The sequence below is a fragment of the Homo sapiens genome, chromosome 13 (assembly GCF_000001405.40).
Source record: "Homo sapiens chromosome 13, GRCh38.p14 Primary Assembly".
Lineage (NCBI taxonomy): Eukaryota > Metazoa > Chordata > Mammalia > Primates > Hominidae > Homo > Homo sapiens.
The window spans coordinates 25,220,760-25,237,227 of record NC_000013.11 but is presented as its reverse complement, the minus strand read 5'-3'; the positions used below and the strand labels follow the sequence as shown (position 1 = coordinate 25,237,227).

Sequence of the window (16,468 nt, the reverse complement as noted above, 5' to 3'; positions counted from 1 at the left end):
GCCCTCTGTTTTTAACTGATCCAACTGCATGCTTGTATACAAGACAGTTCCTCCAGGAAGATGTAAATTCCGAAGTCTTTATCTAATAATGTATTCGCTAGAAATAGCAGACAGTGGGCAGATTGTCAAGAAATAAGGCCTTGACAAGCAATCTTGGCATTTGAGGAGGGGAAGGAGGACTGGTGGCAAAGGCGTTGTGGCAAGGGAGGACCTAGGGGAATCGTGGAGGATTTGGGGCTCACTGGAGCCAGCAGAAGGTAGATTTTTTGAGCAGCTGGTAGATAGCGAAACAAAACATCAGAGAGTTTGGGAACAAAAGTTGAGTGGGCAGAGAGGGTGCCCTTTTCCTTCTTTGCTTGTCCTTGCGTAAGTCTGGGGGAGGTGTGTGTGTGAGAGAGAGAAACAGAGAGGCCTGTGGGACTGGGTATCTCAGGTCTCAGGGCTCAGCATCAGCTCCCTCTGCTCATACAAGCCCCAGCCTCGTTCTGTATTCCCCTTCAGCTCACTCGAATTCCTCTCCCCGCAGAACGTCTATTTAACGTATTGAATATATGCCCTTCGAGATGCTTGTCCTGCAAGTGTGTGTGTGTGTGTGTTTAAAATTTACATAGATGTTACTGAGTCCCTCTTTCTGCCTCTTCTGTTTTTGTGTTTGTTTGTTTGTTTGTTTGTTTTGCTTTGAGATGGAGTCTCGCTCTGTCGCCCAGGCTGGAGTGCAGTGGTGCAATCTCGACTCACTGCAACCTCCATCTTCCGGGTTCAAGCGATTCTCCTGCCTCAGCCTCCTGAGTAGCTGGGACTACAGGCGTGTGTCACCACACCTGGCCAATTTTTTGTACTTTTAGTAGAGACGGGATTTCATCATGTTAGCCAGGATGGTCTCGATCTCCTGACCTCATGATCCGCCCGCCTCAGCCTCCCAAAGTGCTGGGATTACAGGCGTGAGCCACCTTGTCTTACTCATATTATCTCCTTACTCTCCTTTCCTATGATTCTTTTTCCACGTTGCCCCCAACTCCCCCCAATTTCTTTCAGTCATTTGGCATTTATTGAGTGCCTAGTGCATGCCAAGTAGGGTGCTGGGTACATTACAGACATTGTTTGGTTCAGTATTCACAGTAACCCTGCAAGGACAGTGGTCTTTTCCTCATTTTTGTGAAGAAGCCAACTCAGCAGTTAGGTAACATGCTCACCATTACACAGCCAGCAATCTGTATTCACACTTAGCCTTGCTATTCCAAAACCCTTCTTAATCTTCATTAAAAACAATTCACCCAGCTCTCTCTTAAATGAAGAAATGATACTGACCAACGTGGCCATCTCTTAGGACCTAGGTAATCTCACTACTTGCAGATTTGCTGGCACTCCCAGCTAATGTGTGTTCAATGCTCATGGGAGGCAGCACAGGGCAGTGGTTAGAACACAGACTCTGGAGCCTGGCCGGTCCCTGCTCTGCCCCAAGCATCTGTGAACTTTGGACAGGTTGGCCATCCCCTCCCTCGAAAAACAAGCCAGGTTCGATGTGGTCGAGTGATGAAAAAGAGGTTTGCATGTTTTTAAATTCATTCACTTGACAAATATTTGATATGCCTACCACATGCCAGGTATTATTATAGAAACTGGGGACAGAGAAGAGGACCAAATACAAAAGCCGGTGTCCCCAGGAAGCTTACCTTCCAGTGTTAGCAGGTAAGATGGCTGCTATGAAAGGAAGGACAGGGGCCGGGCGCGGTAGCTCACACCTGTAATCCCAGCACTTTGGGAGGCTGAGGTAGGTGGATCACCTGGGGCCGGGAGTTCAAGACCAGCCTGGCCAACATGGCGAAACCCCGTCTCTACTAAAAATACAAAAATTGGCCGGGCGTGGTGGTGGGCGTCTGTAGTCCCAGCTACTTGGGAGGTTGAGGCAGGAGAATCGCTTAATCTGGGAGGCGGAGGCGGAGGTTGCCGTGAGCCAAGATTGCACCATTGCATTCCAGTCTGGGCAACAAAAGCGAAACTCCGTCTCAAAAAAAGATTAAGGAAGGACAGGGACCTTAACTTGAGGACAAACAGTAGGCTGATAACTATGATGCACCACTGTCTGCTGTGTGCTGGAGCCTGCTTCTGACTAATTGTGTAGTTCATTCTCCAAGGGCAAGATTTTATTTTCTAACAGCTTTATTGAGATATAATTTACGTACTTTAATATTCACCCATTTTAAATGTACAATTCAGTGATTTTTAGTAAATAGACAGTTTTGCAGCTGTCACTTCAATCCCATTTTAGAACATTTCCATCACTCCATAAGGCTCCTTCACACAAGAGGAAGGTGTAGTTTTTGGAATAAATGAAGGGAGGTGGTGTTTTTTGTGGAGAAAGTGCTGGCCCAAGGACCAGGAGAACCAGGACCTAGTTCCAGCTCTGCAATGGGCTCTGGGAAAGGCACCTCCCCACAGGGCCTCATTCCCTCACCTGTTACATGAAGGCATTGTTTGCCATGTTCCTTTACAGTTCTAAAATGTTGTGATTTAATTTAAGGAAGATCCAAGTATCTGGCAGTTCGAGAGGGACGCAATGGAGAAGAGAGATTTAAACTATAAGAGGAAAGGGAGTGTTTGCTAAGCAAATTATCGGAGGCATTCATGTGGGGAGTATGGGGAGTTAGTAAGGAGGGGAAGACTCAGGGCCTTCGAATCCAACCCAAGGATTTGAGTCCATCGACTGTCAGGGAGGTACCAGTGAAACTTTCGGTCATTCGTTTTTTTATAACAGAGAATGACCCAAGGTATGGTAGGCTGAAATGAGGTTCAAGTTTAAATCCTATCAATAGGAAGGAGAGTTTGAGCAAGTCAACCCCTGTAATCTTCTGCTTCTTTGTAGAGAATATCAACCTCACTGAATTGAAGTTAGTTGACAGGTATGTGTGAAGCACACAATCAGGCTTGGTGCCAAGTACTTGATGTTTTAATACAAAAGCTATTTTATGAATATTAATTTGGTAGCAACATAGTGAGTGGATTGGAGGAGAGCCGGTAGTTCAGTGTTTCTCAGAATCTGGTTCCCTGATCAACTGTGTCAGCATCACTTAGAGTACCTTGTTAAAAATGTAGACTCTTGAGCTCAGTCCCAGATCAGATGATCTGAGCATCAGACTGGGCCCTGAAGACCAGCATTTTCATAGGCTCCCAGGGGATGTTTATGCACATTTAAGAACCAGTGTGACAGGTTAGCCCTTAGTAAACATTACTTGTTTACTAAGTAAACAAGTTTACTTATTTTGCTGCAAGTTTACAAGTTTTGCTGCTGTAAATTACTGCTCTTATAGCATAAAGAAGTCTAGCTTGGGGAGGGGTCATCAAAGACTTCCTTTTGACCTGTTTGCATATAGGAGTAGGCTTTGGATGAATGTGTAGGCTCTAGCCAGGTAGGAAGGGGAAAGTTATCCAGTTAGAATATATATAGAGGCAAAGAAGGGACATCATGGCTTTTGGTGGGGAGCAACATATTTTAAAATATGATCATAATGAAAATGTGACTAGACAGTAGTAAGAGCTGTATTGGATGTCATATTGAGGAAGATGGAGAGGCAGTTTGGAGCTTTGGTTTTAAGCAAGAGTGATACAAGGTCAGATTGAATTTAGAGGGCCTAGGTATGAGCGTGGGTATAAAGCAGTGGTGACTTCCAGGTTTTTCACAGGCTGACTGGGATAGATGGGGCTGCCATTCATCTAGGAAGGGAATAGAAGAATCAGGTATGTGGGAAAGAGGCTTAGGTTTTAGGGGTATTACATGGAGATGTCTCTGAGACATCCAAGTGGAGCTATTTATACAAATTGGAATATGAGGCTGGTGTTAAGGGAAGAGATGTCAATTAGAGTGGGAAATCTGGAAGCCACCAGGTTATAGTGCAGAATTAAGCCATGGGCATGCATAAAATTTTTCAGTTCTTAGAATAAGATAAGAGATCTGAGAAGGAATCCCTCAAAACTGGGCAGACCTTAAGAAAAAACAGCAAAAGAGAGCGCACTGGAAAACCAAAGAGAGACAGGATCCAGGGAGGAAGTGTGATTGAGAAAATTATTAACTATGTCCAGTGCCACCTAGAGGTCATTTAAAGAGTAGAAATTGTCCCTGTCATTTTCATTTGGCAAGAGCAGTTTCAGTAGAGATTAGAGGCCGACATTAGGCAGTAGAGGCTTTATAGTTTAATGGGGGACATGAGTAAGTAGAGACCATGAATGCAGACTACATTTTTATCTTTATAACTTTTTTAATAAAATAACTGAAGTAGGACTGGGCATGGTGGCTCAAGCGTGTAATCCCAGCACTTTGGGAAGTCGAAGTGGGAGGACTGCTCGAGCCCAGGAGTTCAACACCAGCCTGAGCAACATAATGAGATTCCGTCTCTACAAAAATTTAGGTGTGGTGCCATGCATTTGTAGTCCCAGCTACTCGGGAGGCTGAATTGGGAGGATCGTTTGAGCCTAGGAGGTCAAGGCTACAGTGAGCCATGATCTCTCCACTGCACTCCAGACTGGGTGAAACAGCAAGACCCTGCCCCCCCACCAGAAAAAAAGAATTGGAAAAAGAGAATATATTAAAGATATCCTAGGGACTGGACATGGAAAAGGAAAAATGTCTCATTTCTTGTTCTGGACTATAAGGCTTTCTTTTAGTGGCAAGAAAGTGTTATTCTCTTTTTATCCTCGACACTTAAGCACAGTGCTTGCCATCCCGTTGGTGCTCAGGAAATCCTTATTGATTGAATAGATAGGTGGATGGATGGATATACAGGTCCAAACTTTTGAGGTTTTTTTTTTTTTAATTTTGGATTGAGTTGAGAAGAAATTTAAAGGAACCATGTTAAAATATTGCTACATACCAAGAATTATACTTTTAAATTTCAAATAGCCTGTGACTTTTCCATTTGCTAGAATTTCTCTCTTTTTTTTTTTCTTTTTCTTTATTTTATTTTGAAGCAGAGTTTCACTCTTGTTGCCCAGGCTGGAGTGCAGTAGTGCAATCTCGGCTCACTGCAACCTCCACCTCCCGGGTTCAAGCGATTCTCCTGCCTCAGCCTCCCAAGTAGCTGGGATTACATGCCTGGCTAATTTTGTATTTTTAGTAGAGATGGGGTTTTGCCATGCTGGCCGGGCTGGTCTCGAACTCCCGACCTCAGGTGATCCGCCTGCCTCTGCCTCCCAAAGTGCTGGGATTACAGGTGTGAGCGACTGCACCTGGCCCTTTTTTTCTTTTAATAGGCTTTCTCTTTCCTTCCTCCTAATTTGAGGCAAATATTTATTCTAAATATTTGAGTGCATTGCAGAGTTAGAAGCGAGTTAGGATTTTACAATTTGAATGTTAATGCTAGATAGAATGCAATATCATAATGGGATGCATCCAATATGGCTAAGAGCCTTCTGCCACTGGAGAGACCCCACTTAGAGGGCCTCTGTGCTCTGCAGCACCTCCTGGCAGTGGGGCTGGGATGGGGGGACTAGGGCCGCACCTCCAGGAGTCAGGCCAGGTGGCTCTTTGCCAAATGCTTTCTGAAAAAGTGCGATAGTAATAAATGTTTCATGCCCCTCCTTCCTGTGCAGCTACTAGGGAAGTGCTTTCGTCTTTGGGAGATGTAGTGTTTGTGGCTGTTTTCTCTGACTGTTCCCACTGCTTTAACCCAGTTTCTCACTCCGCAAGGGCCATTCATTTCTCCACTTACCCTTTCTCAAGGCATTTCACTCCAGATCCTCTGATTTAGTGTCCATTTTCAAGTCCCTGAGGATTTTGACTTGAACTAATAAATGTACAGCAGTTGCTCTTCCGGGACTTTATTTTATTTTTTTGAGATGGAGTCTCGCTCTGTCGCCCAGGCTGGAGTGCAGTGGCGCAATCTTGGCTCACTGCAAGCTCTGCCTCCCAGGTTCACGCCATTGTCCTGCCTCAGCCTCCCAAGTAGCTGGGACCACAGGCGCCCACCACCACGCCTGGCTAATTTTTTGTATTTTTAGTAGAGACGGGGTTTCACCGTGTTAGCCAGGATGGTCTCAATCACCTGACCTCGTGATCCGCCCACCTTGGCCTCCCAAAGTGCTGGGATTACAGGTGTGAGCCACCGCGCCCGGCCCCAGGACTATATTTTAAAGGATAAATATAAAAATAAAAGAGAGGAAGCTTCTCTGTATGGTGAAGATGAGTAAGTGGTAGAGGAACGGAACTCTCAGCTGTTTACATCTGACTCTGTTCGTTTAACCTCTTTGCCTAACCACGTGTTGGTAAGTGTTTCAGGTGTACTTTATTAGGACAAATTTTTGGTTCCTCCATGTGGTTAAGTGACACATGCATTAAATACTTTGCAAAGTGGCTAGTTCATTATATGTGACTAATTCATGTTGCTCTTCAAGAAACATTTTGTGAGTGACTTATGGGTCAAACATTGTTTAAGGCACTGAAAATGTGAAAATAAGACAGAAGAGTTTCTGCCCTGAAGGGTCTCATAAGATAGTGGGGAGAGAGGCAGCATGTAATACAAGAAAATGGACAGGCCGGCTACACCATTCCACCCGTGACATGGCCTGTGATGACTGGGTTTAGGAACAAGAGAGGGATGCTTTTGCTTTCCCTCGCTGTAGACCAGATGGGGGCATGTGGTAGGAGTCAGGAGCGCTCTACAGGAGAAATGGTAGTTGAGTTGAGTTTTAGGTGATAAGTAGGAATTCACCAGGTGGAAGAGGAGGAACATTCAAGATAAAGAGATTAACAAAAACAAAGGAATGAGGCCAGGCCGTGGCTCATGCCTGTAATCCCAGCACTTTGGGAGGCCAAGGTGGGTGGATCACCAGAGGTCAGGAGTTCGAGACTAGCCTGGCCAATATGGTGAAACCCCCGTCTCTACTAAAAATACAAAAATTAGCTGGGTGTGGTGGTGGGCGCCTGTAGTCCCAGCTACTTGGGAGACTGAGGCAGGTAATCACTTAAACCCAGGAGGCAGAGGTTGCAGTGAGCTGAGATCGCACCACAGCACTCCAGCCTGGGCAACAAGAGCAAGACTACATCTCAACTAGTCAACAAAATCATGACTAGTCCAGGGTGCTGCAGGCTCTCTGATGTGTTGGTGGGGATAGGTAGATGGGAGACGAGGTCAGAAGGTGGTGGTGGCCAGACGGTGCAGACTGTATTCTACTGGGAGCAGGTGCTGCGCTGTAAGCCTCTGGGAGCTGGAGGTTTTTAAGCAGGAGGTTACATAATCAGACATACTTTAGAAAGACCTTTTGGAATGAGGGCAGATTTGGGTTATCGGGTGTCAGATGCCTCTGGAGCCTTGTGCCACACCCCCTCACCTCACTCGGGGCAGTGAGCACTTTCCTGTGGCTTGGATGCACCTGGCACTAAAGCTTTTTTCCCAAGAGTACACCTCACACCTTCTGCACCCTGCTGTAGGTATTCTCCAGAGCCACTGACTCCAGGTAGGTTGTGCCCAGCTCAGAACCACCCAGCTCCAAAATGCAGGAGATTTAACCCTTTCAGGGGATTCCCTCACACAGGGAGGGATGGAGCCAGTGGCCACACGCTTCTCCTGGTCCATTCAGAGAAGCAACCTGCATGTGCCCAAGTGGTGGCACCGAGCCCCAGTTGCCTACAGAGGTGATCTCAGTAATTCATGTTTATGTTGGTTTTGCTCCTCCCATTATTCATTGGGCTCCTTCATTCCTGCCTCTTTGAGTAGTTTCCAGGTCGGCTACCTGCTCACAGGTTCTAGCAAAGCTCTGCTTTAGGGAAAGGAGGAGAGCGGGGATCCAGCATGAGACAACAGGTTCCAATGATGAAGCTTTTGCAATTGCTCAGGCAGTGATAAAACAGCAAACATTGCATGCCGGGATGTCAAGTAGGGGAAGGAGTAGGGACAGTTGTAGTGGGGAGAATCAAAAGGTCTTGAGGAACAGTTCAACGTGAGGGTGCAGCAGAAATAGGCATTTCTGATATCTCTTGGATTGCCGGCTGGGACCACAGTGTCATTAACCAAATTGAGAAATAAAGCTGCAGGGGTCGGGTATATGTGTGGGAGATTATGGGTTCTGCTTTTCATGGGAAGGATTGAAGGCACTGTGGAAAGGCAGGGGGAGACGGTTAGTAGGAAGCTGGGTTCAGGAGTCTGTAGCTCAGAAAACAGGTCTGTTTCTGGCAGTTTTGTGACTCATGAAAATACAAATATTATCTCATGTCAGTTGCATGGAACTCTTTTCCCAGACCTTTCGGGAAAGGGTCAGGTGCAATGAGAGCGCCATGGCAGTGCCCCTCTTTCCCCTGCCTCACTGTTTAGTTGCCTATCACCATCTTCTTCCCTTTTAAACATTAGAACATTTGCTCATTACAAATCATATTATCATGGCTTTATTATTTAATTTTGTCTTCCTGAGAAAAGGGTTCATGGTAAAGACAGAAATGCCTCCATCACCCCAGAGAGCAGGACACACAGGAAGGAGGGGCAGGTGTGCAGGTGAGGGGCTCGGGTTTTGTTCCAGGGGCTCTGGGTAGTCATCAAGAGGTGCAGCCACCAAGGACCATATATGCTTGGGTCAAGAGGACACCTACCTGGGAGTGGGGAGGGTTGACTGGCTCTGCCATTGTAACCCATGTTCTACTATCCCCCTTGTCCCTCTTTTTAGCTAACCTCTTACTCATCCTTCAAGATCATCGTAGGCCAATGAATCCTTGAATTTGTGGTCAACAAGAGGTCTTCTGTAGGCTGAAGTCAGGGCTGAGTGGTCTGCTTGTGATCTCCTAGGAATTCAAGTAAATCCATGTACTTCTTGAACATAGCTCATAGCAGAGGACTGAGCCGTGAAAATGCTTACATGCCTGCCTCCTCTGACACATTATAAGCTCCCTGAGGATGGGGACCAAGGCTTATTTCATCGTTGTATCCTCAGCATCTGACCAATAGCAGGCACTAAGTCATTACTGAAAAGAACTGAGCATGACACCCAAGGGAACAGATGAGGTGGAGGTAGGACAAGGAAGACTGAGGAGTCTCCATGGAACCTTCCAGGGAGAGACAGTCAATAAACTCTCATCAGTCGAAGTGATTTCTATTGTACAGTGCAAACCTATGTGTGCCGTGAAAAACAGTAAGGGCAATAGGGCTTAGGAGGAGGGGAAGGCTGTGGGTGCCTGGGGTGGCAATGGGGAGCCTCACTAAGGAGGCAAAGATGGAACGATGAGGGTCAGCCATCAGATGGAAGGCTCTAGAGCAGATGCTGCCAGCTAGGCGAGGACCAGGTGGGCCGAGCAGACACTGGCTTCAGCGTGCCCTCTCCTGCCCACCGTTCCCATCAATTTCAGCACTACTGCAGAAAGAGACTTTTAAACAGCAAACGTCAAGCGTACACTTCACGAGGACAGGGACCTTCATGTGTGGGATGTAACTCAACACCCGAGGGCATAGTGGACGCTCAATGAAGAGCTGTTGAACAAATGAAGGGATACAGAAAGTCAAGAGGGGAAAGGTTTGGAAAGCGGCGGATGTGTCGTGCGAAATGCAGCACGTGGTGAAAGACAATAAGCACCCGAAGAACCTTGGTCTTTGTTCTTATTTATTTATCTGTTTTTATCATCTCCTATTTATTTATGGTCAAAGGCTGACCTATAGAGTGTTCAGTTGTTCTCCACAGTGGTTTTACTAGTGTGCTTGGAAAATAGGAATGAGCTATTTAGAGGATTCTCTTACGGTCCTATTCCGGAGTTTAACTGCAGCCAGTGAAAACATCCTCGCTCGGTGGTGTAGCGTCACATCCACAATCAAATCAGTATTTCACTCTTAGAATATGGACTGCTTCTGTCTATATCTTCACAGGTGTAAGATTTATGTTTAACATTGGCATGAGAATAAGTGAAAGTCAGGTAGTCAAATATCCTTTTGTAAATAGGAATAGGGTAAAAACCCTTTAATATAGGATTGTAATACTTGGCATTCAATTTATAATTTTTGTAGCATTCAATATATGGACTCAATTTATAATTTAATGCATAATTTAGTTTTATAATTTTATAAGACTATATACTTATAATTAAATTTACAATTTATAATTTTGATTGCCTCTTTGTAAGTTCCATTTACAACTCCTTGTCTGCCACAGAGACTTAACATTGTAGGGAACACGTGTGGAGAATCTCTTACTCTTTTAAAATTGAAAGTCATGGCTCATGCCTGTAATCCCAGCACTTTGGGCCAAGACGGGCAGACTGCTTGAGCTCAGGAGTTTGAGACCAGCCTGGGCAACACAGTGAAACCCTGTTTCTACAAAAAATACAAAAATTAGTCGGGTGTGGTGGTGTGTGCCTGTAATCCCAGCTACTCAGAAGGCTGAAGCACAAGAATGGCTTGAGAACGGGAGGCAGAGGTTGCAGTGAGCCGAAATCATACCACTGCACTCCAGCCTGAGTGACAGAGCGAGACTACATCTCAAAAAAATAAAAAAATAAATTAAATTAAAATTAAAAAACAAGTGGAAGTCAGTAATTAGAAAGCCCAAAGATTAGGCTCAAAGTGTTGTCTGGGGTGTAAGCCTGAAAGGGAAGCCTCTTAAGTTCTGTGGGGTTCACTTTTCGAGGTAAACTGCAGTTGTTTTGACAGGGGAAGTCTGCTTTTAGCCATTTCAAATATTTATATTCTTATTCCAATTCACTCATAGACTAGGAGCACATTCAAAGATAAGCATTTAAACCACAGCGGAAAGTAGAGGCCTCTGATGGAGCACATTTAAAACGTGTCCTCATCTGGGGAAGGAGATATATTATTCAGTCAAAGCAGAAGTGAGTGCAAGAAATAACCTCCACTAGATTTTTGCAATTACCGGGATCTATTAAAGTGGAAAAAAAAACATTTGTTGGAGATCTACATCAGTGAAATCCAAACATTTTAAGTCCAATTTTCCTCATGGAAGAAAGACCACATAGAAGAGGGCTCAGGACTGTGAGGAGCACAAGGTTCCCGCTGTGCCACCAGCCACTCAGCCCTTGTTGCCCACTCAGGGTCTCCAGGAGCAATCCTGTAATTCCCTCCACAGACTCTGGGGACCTGATACATCTTTCCAGCTGCCTGGAGGTTCTACCCCTTAGCATTGGCTCTAGAGTACAGTTGATCTGGCTTTTACGCTTGCGTCCTCTGAAACAAGTGCACACGTTATGGGGACTTGCTGCTACAGAAATTTTTCAATGTTTGGAAATTTGCATATGTTCAAGAAATCTCAAAAAAGTGCCAACCTTACTCAGTACTGATCCCCTTCTGTGGATGCCCACACACCTTCTCTCCTCCAGCCTCCAACATCCCCTCGCGCCGCTTCCTTCCCTGTTCACAGAGAACACAGACACCATCAGAAAGAGCGGCCCCTGATTCCACTCCCCATGGTCTCCACAGCCAGTGGCCAGTTTTCATTGCTCCCTTTCTCCGGTTCATTTAAGACATTTGATGTGTTTGGTCATCCCTCTTTCATGGAACATTTTATGCTGTTGGCTTCCAGATGCCACAAGCTCCTCCATCATAGTATGTGGCTGTGGCCCTGGCTACCTGCATCCCAGGAGGGCTCTGCACAGCCACCAGCTCTTCCTGTCCTTGGATTGTAATGTAGGGTCTAGGACCCATGTCTTAGCACAAAAGGAGCTGGGAAAAGTATCGGGGCTATTCATTTAAAATACGGTAGGTAGGTTCCACTTTATATGGTGGGGAGTTCCTCAAACTTAAGAGGGTTAAAAAAGATGACCGCTGTCCATGTGGGACCTTGACCCAGTGAAATTTGGGTCACTGATGCAAGGCCATTAGTGCCTAAACCGGCAATGTCTGGTGAAACTAAGGTTTTGCTACCTATCAGATTTATAGGATATATTGAAATCAACAAGTGTGTGTGTGTGTGTGTGTGTGTGTGTGTGTGTGTGTGTGTTTTCTTTTTTTAGATGGAGTCTCACTCTGTTGCCCAGGCTGGAGTGCAGTGGCACGATCTCGGCTCACTGCAACCTCCAATTCCTGGGTTCAAGCAATTCTCCTGCCTCAGCCTCCTGCGTAGCTGGGATTACAGGCAGGCGCCATGATGCCCGGCTAATTTTTTGTGTATGGAGACGGGGTTTCACCATGTTGGCCAGGCTAGTCTCGAACTCCTGGCCCGCCTCGGCCTCCCAAAGTGCTGGTATTACAGGTGCCGCGCCCGGCCTGTTTTTGTTTTTAAAGAAAGCAACAAACAGATGAGCTAAGCTTAAGAAGCAGAAATGAGTAAAAACAAAAACAACAACAACAACAAAATAAAGCAAAGATAAAAAACACTGTTAATGAATTATTAAAAAGAGAACATCAAAAAAGCCAATAAACCTGAGAGCAGTTTCTTAGACAAAAAGTAATCAAGTAGGCAGACTTTCAGAATATCTACTTAAGGGTGAAAAAGACAAATGAAACAAAAGAGAAAAATAATGTGGCAACACCTTCAACCCTCTCCTGGGCATCCACAGAACCCCCAGCTAGTCTCCCAGCTGCTAACTACTCTTCTTCCCAGCCTGAATGTTGCTGTTCCCCTAAATTCATATCTTGGAAACTAATACCTGCTATGGTAGTGAGGCCTTTGGGAAGTAATTAAGTCATGAGGGCTGCGCCCAAATGCATGGGATTAGGGTACTTATAAAAGAGGCTTGTTTCGGGGAAAAAGTCTCACTGACTGCATTTTTCCTCTACTTCCCCATCACCACAAGAGTCAACGCAGAAGACTTCTGTGACCAAATGTGTGGGTTTTTTCCCCCCGACACGAAGCAGCAGACACTAGCTGGGTGTCCTCCAATTCAATTCCAACACTACCCGGAAACAGTGTCAGATCCCACAGGTTGGAGGCTCCCTGGCATTGGGAACTGGATCCCACAGTCCCCAAGATTCCCGTCATACGCCCTGACACCAGCTGCAAGTCTGGACCTCCAGAACTTCTGACCGGACATCTTCAAGTTAGGGTTCCTACGACCCCCTGTTTGGGTTTGATTAATTTGCTGCAGCAGCTCACACGACTCAGGGAAACACTTACTTGTTGGTTTATTATAAAGGATAGTACACAGGATACAGATGAAGAGATGCATAGGGCAAGGTATGGGGGAAGGGGTTCCGAGCTTCCATCAACCTCCACGTTTTCAGTCATCTGGAAGCACCTGAGCCCAGTCCTACTGGGTTTTTATGAAAGCATTCCTTTCCCCGAGGACATGAGATGGGACCCACTCGGGGGAAGGTCTTAAAACCTGCAATCAGAAAGGCAGGAGAAGACTGGTGTTCTGCCTTGGGGCAGGCGACAGGAGGGCAGGAGAAGATCAGAGGCTGTCCCGAGGCCCAACACGCCCAGCATTATTACAAAAGACTGTAACAAGGTGATAATGGTTTGGTTGTGTCCCCACCCAAATCTCATCTTCAATTGTAATAATCCCCATGTGTCAAGGGTGGGGCCAGGTGGAGATAATCGAATCACAGAACGGGTGTCTTTCCCCTGCTGGTCTCGTGATAGTGAATAGGTCTTACGGATCTGATGGTTTTATAAATGGGAGTTCTCCTGCACACGTTCTCTTGCCTGCCGCCACGTTAAGATGTGACTTTGCTCCTCATTTGCCTTCCTCCATGATTGTGAGGCCTCCCCATCCATGTGGAACTGTGAGTCCATTAAAGCTCTTTCCTTTATAAATTACGCACTCTCAGGTATGTCTTTATTAGCAGCAGGAGAACAGACTAATACACAAGGGCTCTGGGAGTTAGGAGTGAGGAACCGTGGAGGAATGCCTACACATATACCCTGCACTATACATCTCATAACACCACGGGGCTCAGGGGAGCTCCCTTGCCGCTTCCCATGTGAGGACCAGAAGGCACCATCTAGGAGGAATGAGCCCCCACCAGACCCTGAATCTCCTGGTGCCTTGATTTTGATTTCTCAGCCTCTAAATTTCTGTTGTTTACCAATGACCCAATCTAAGGTATTTTTTAGCAGTGAAAATAAAACAGACTAAGACACTGCCCCAACTCCATGTAACAGCCCAACTGACCATATAGCATACACTGGATCATGTCACTGTCCACATAAAATCCTCCGGTGTATGGCCGTTGCCCTTAGAGTACATGCAACCTCCTCACGATGGCCCGGAGGCCTCTGATTTCACCTGTGCCTACCTCTCTGGCCTCCTTTATCATTGCCTGCCTACCTTTTCTTTCTGCCCTTGCTTCTGTTCCTTAACCTACCAAGCTTGTTCTGGCTTCAGAGCCTTGTACTTGCTACTCTCCCAACCAAGGCGTGCTGGCCCCTGGCCTTGGCAAGCCTCCCGCCCTTGAAATCGCAGCTCCTTGTCTTCCTGGAGACCCTGTCTCTGACCAGCTCATGCCAGGCAGCCACACCTGCCCACCTCCACCGTCTGTAATCCATTTGTTGACTTCGTCTGTGGTTTCCAGGATTTTTCCAGTCGTGTTCACAACTGTGTTACCAGCAGCAAAATCAGCTCCAGCCACAGTGATTAAATCCTTAAAATGTGATGTGGCAGACACCTTACTACGAATTAAATCTATAAAGTCAAATGCAAGCAATCAACATTTGTCAAATGAAGGAAGGGATCATTAAGTATGCAGTTTTAAAAGATTATATCTCATAGTAAATGCTTTTAAGTGCTTATAAATAGAAAAATCTTTATTAACTGGACAAAATAGGAACTTTAATAGACCCATAAAAATAAACTTAAAAAATTCAATAAAGATTTATTTCCACAAAATTCCAAAACAGAAAACTGTAGACCAGACTCACCTTTTAACATAGATGTGAAGTCTTACATAAAACAGTAGCAAATTACCACAGGCATGTGCCAACATGCCCAGCTAATTAATTTTTTAAAGTTTCCTGTAGAGATGGGGTCTTGCTATGTTGCCCAGGCTGGTCTCGAATTTTTGGGCTCAAATGTCTGATCCTCCCACCTTGGCTTCCCAAAGTGTTGAGATTACAGGTATGAGCCACCATACTTGGCTGAGTTATTGTTTACATATTATAAAATTCACTTATTTTAAGTGTACAGTTCAATGTTTTTTAGCAAATCCACAAGTTGTGCAACCATCACCAAAATCCACCCCCAGAGCCTTTCCATCCATCACCCCAGAAAGATCCCTCATGCTCTTTTGCAGTCTTTCCCTCCTAGCAGCCCCAGCTCCAGGCAATCACTGATCTGTTTTCTCTATAAATAAAATTTTATTGTCTAGACATTTCATATAAGGAGGGTAATGTGAAGTGTGACCTTTTGCATCTGGCTTATTCGGCATATTTTTGAGATTCCTCCTTGTTGTACATCTATCAGTAGTTCATTTCTTTCTATTGCTGAATAATATTCCATTGTCTGAATGGACCACATTTTAGCCATTCACCAGGTCAAGTGCATTTGGATCATTTCTAGTTTTGGGTTATGAATAATGCTGCTGTGAACATTCACATACAAGTATTTGTGTGGATATATGGTTTATTTCTCTTGGGTAGATAGAGAATAATTTATTGATCAAACTGAATTTTTGTCTCAAGAGCCAAATGTTGTTTTGCAGATACCTTTGTAATTTTCTTTTTATGTGGTGTTGTATTCAAACCTTGAGTTATATAGCTAAAGATTAACATATTGATGAATATGTGAATATGAGATGTGCAGCTACAAGGCTGTTAAAATTTACTTGGCATCTGGTATAATTTACTGTCATTCACTAGTAACTACCTCTACGCTTCCTGTCTGGAATAAAAATGACATATACGTTTTAGTTACTATTCTGCTAATACCACCAGAAGTCCTAGCAATTGTCATTTCAAACTGTCTGCTGTGAGGTGATAAAGCCATCTAATTGTTTAAAACTTGTTCCCTGTGGCCAGGTGTGGTGGCTCACACCTGTAATCCCAGCACTTTGGGAGGCCGAGATGGGAGGATCGCTTAAAGCAGGAATTTGAGACCAGCCCGGACAACATAGTGAGACCCCCATCTCTACAAAGAAAAAAAACAAGCCAGGCATGGTGGCTCACACTTGCGGTTTTAGCTACTCAGGAGGCAGTGGCAGGAGGATCCAGGACTTGAGGCTACAGTGAGCTATGATCATGCCACTGCACTCCAGCCTGAGTAACAGAGTGAGATCCTATCTCAAATAAATTAAAATAAAATAAAAAACTATTACTTGAATATATCATTTTATACTATCCCTTTTTGCCCTTTTATGTTTGAAAGGCATTTCACATTTGAAAACTGGGATTGAGGCTTAAAGGGACCAAGAACAAGAAGTAATTTACTTGAAAACATTTTCAAATCCAGAACAACATGTAGGATAGTTTATTAATTTCACAGAGATGCGGAAAGATTAGGAAATTTCCCTTGCCTTGATTTGCTCTGTTTTCTGGCTTCCTGTACTGCAGAGAAATCTAGAGTGTAATTCTACATTTAGACATTTTTGACAGTATAAGTAGGAAAGTGTGTGAT

At 45.0% G+C, this 16,468-nt stretch overlaps 1 long non-coding RNA gene across 2 annotated transcripts, besides 1 other annotated feature; it reads left to right on the top strand.

Annotated features, from left to right (window-relative positions):
• The first annotated feature begins 907 nt into the window (after positions 1-907).
• On the top strand, positions 908-10,070 carry LOC105370121 (uncharacterized). 2 transcript variants are annotated; one of them, XR_941763.3, is made up of 3 exons: positions 908-1,689; positions 8,403-8,477; positions 8,647-10,070. It is a non-coding gene; the product is annotated as an uncharacterized LOC105370121 (long non-coding RNA). The 2 variants fall into 2 exon arrangements; XR_007063730.1 differs by lacking the exon at positions 908-1,689 and having other exon boundaries at positions 7,005-8,477.
• Positions 10,922-11,091: an enhancer, noted in NCBI's record as "experimental_32764 CRE fragment used in MPRA reporter constructs". NCBI's record gives its function as "activates a minimal promoter by MPRAs in K562 erythroleukemia cells, with activity observed for the introgressed 13:25800360 variant allele {active_cell/tissue: K562}" and the evidence as "EXISTENCE:reporter gene assay evidence [ECO:0000049][PMID:34662402]".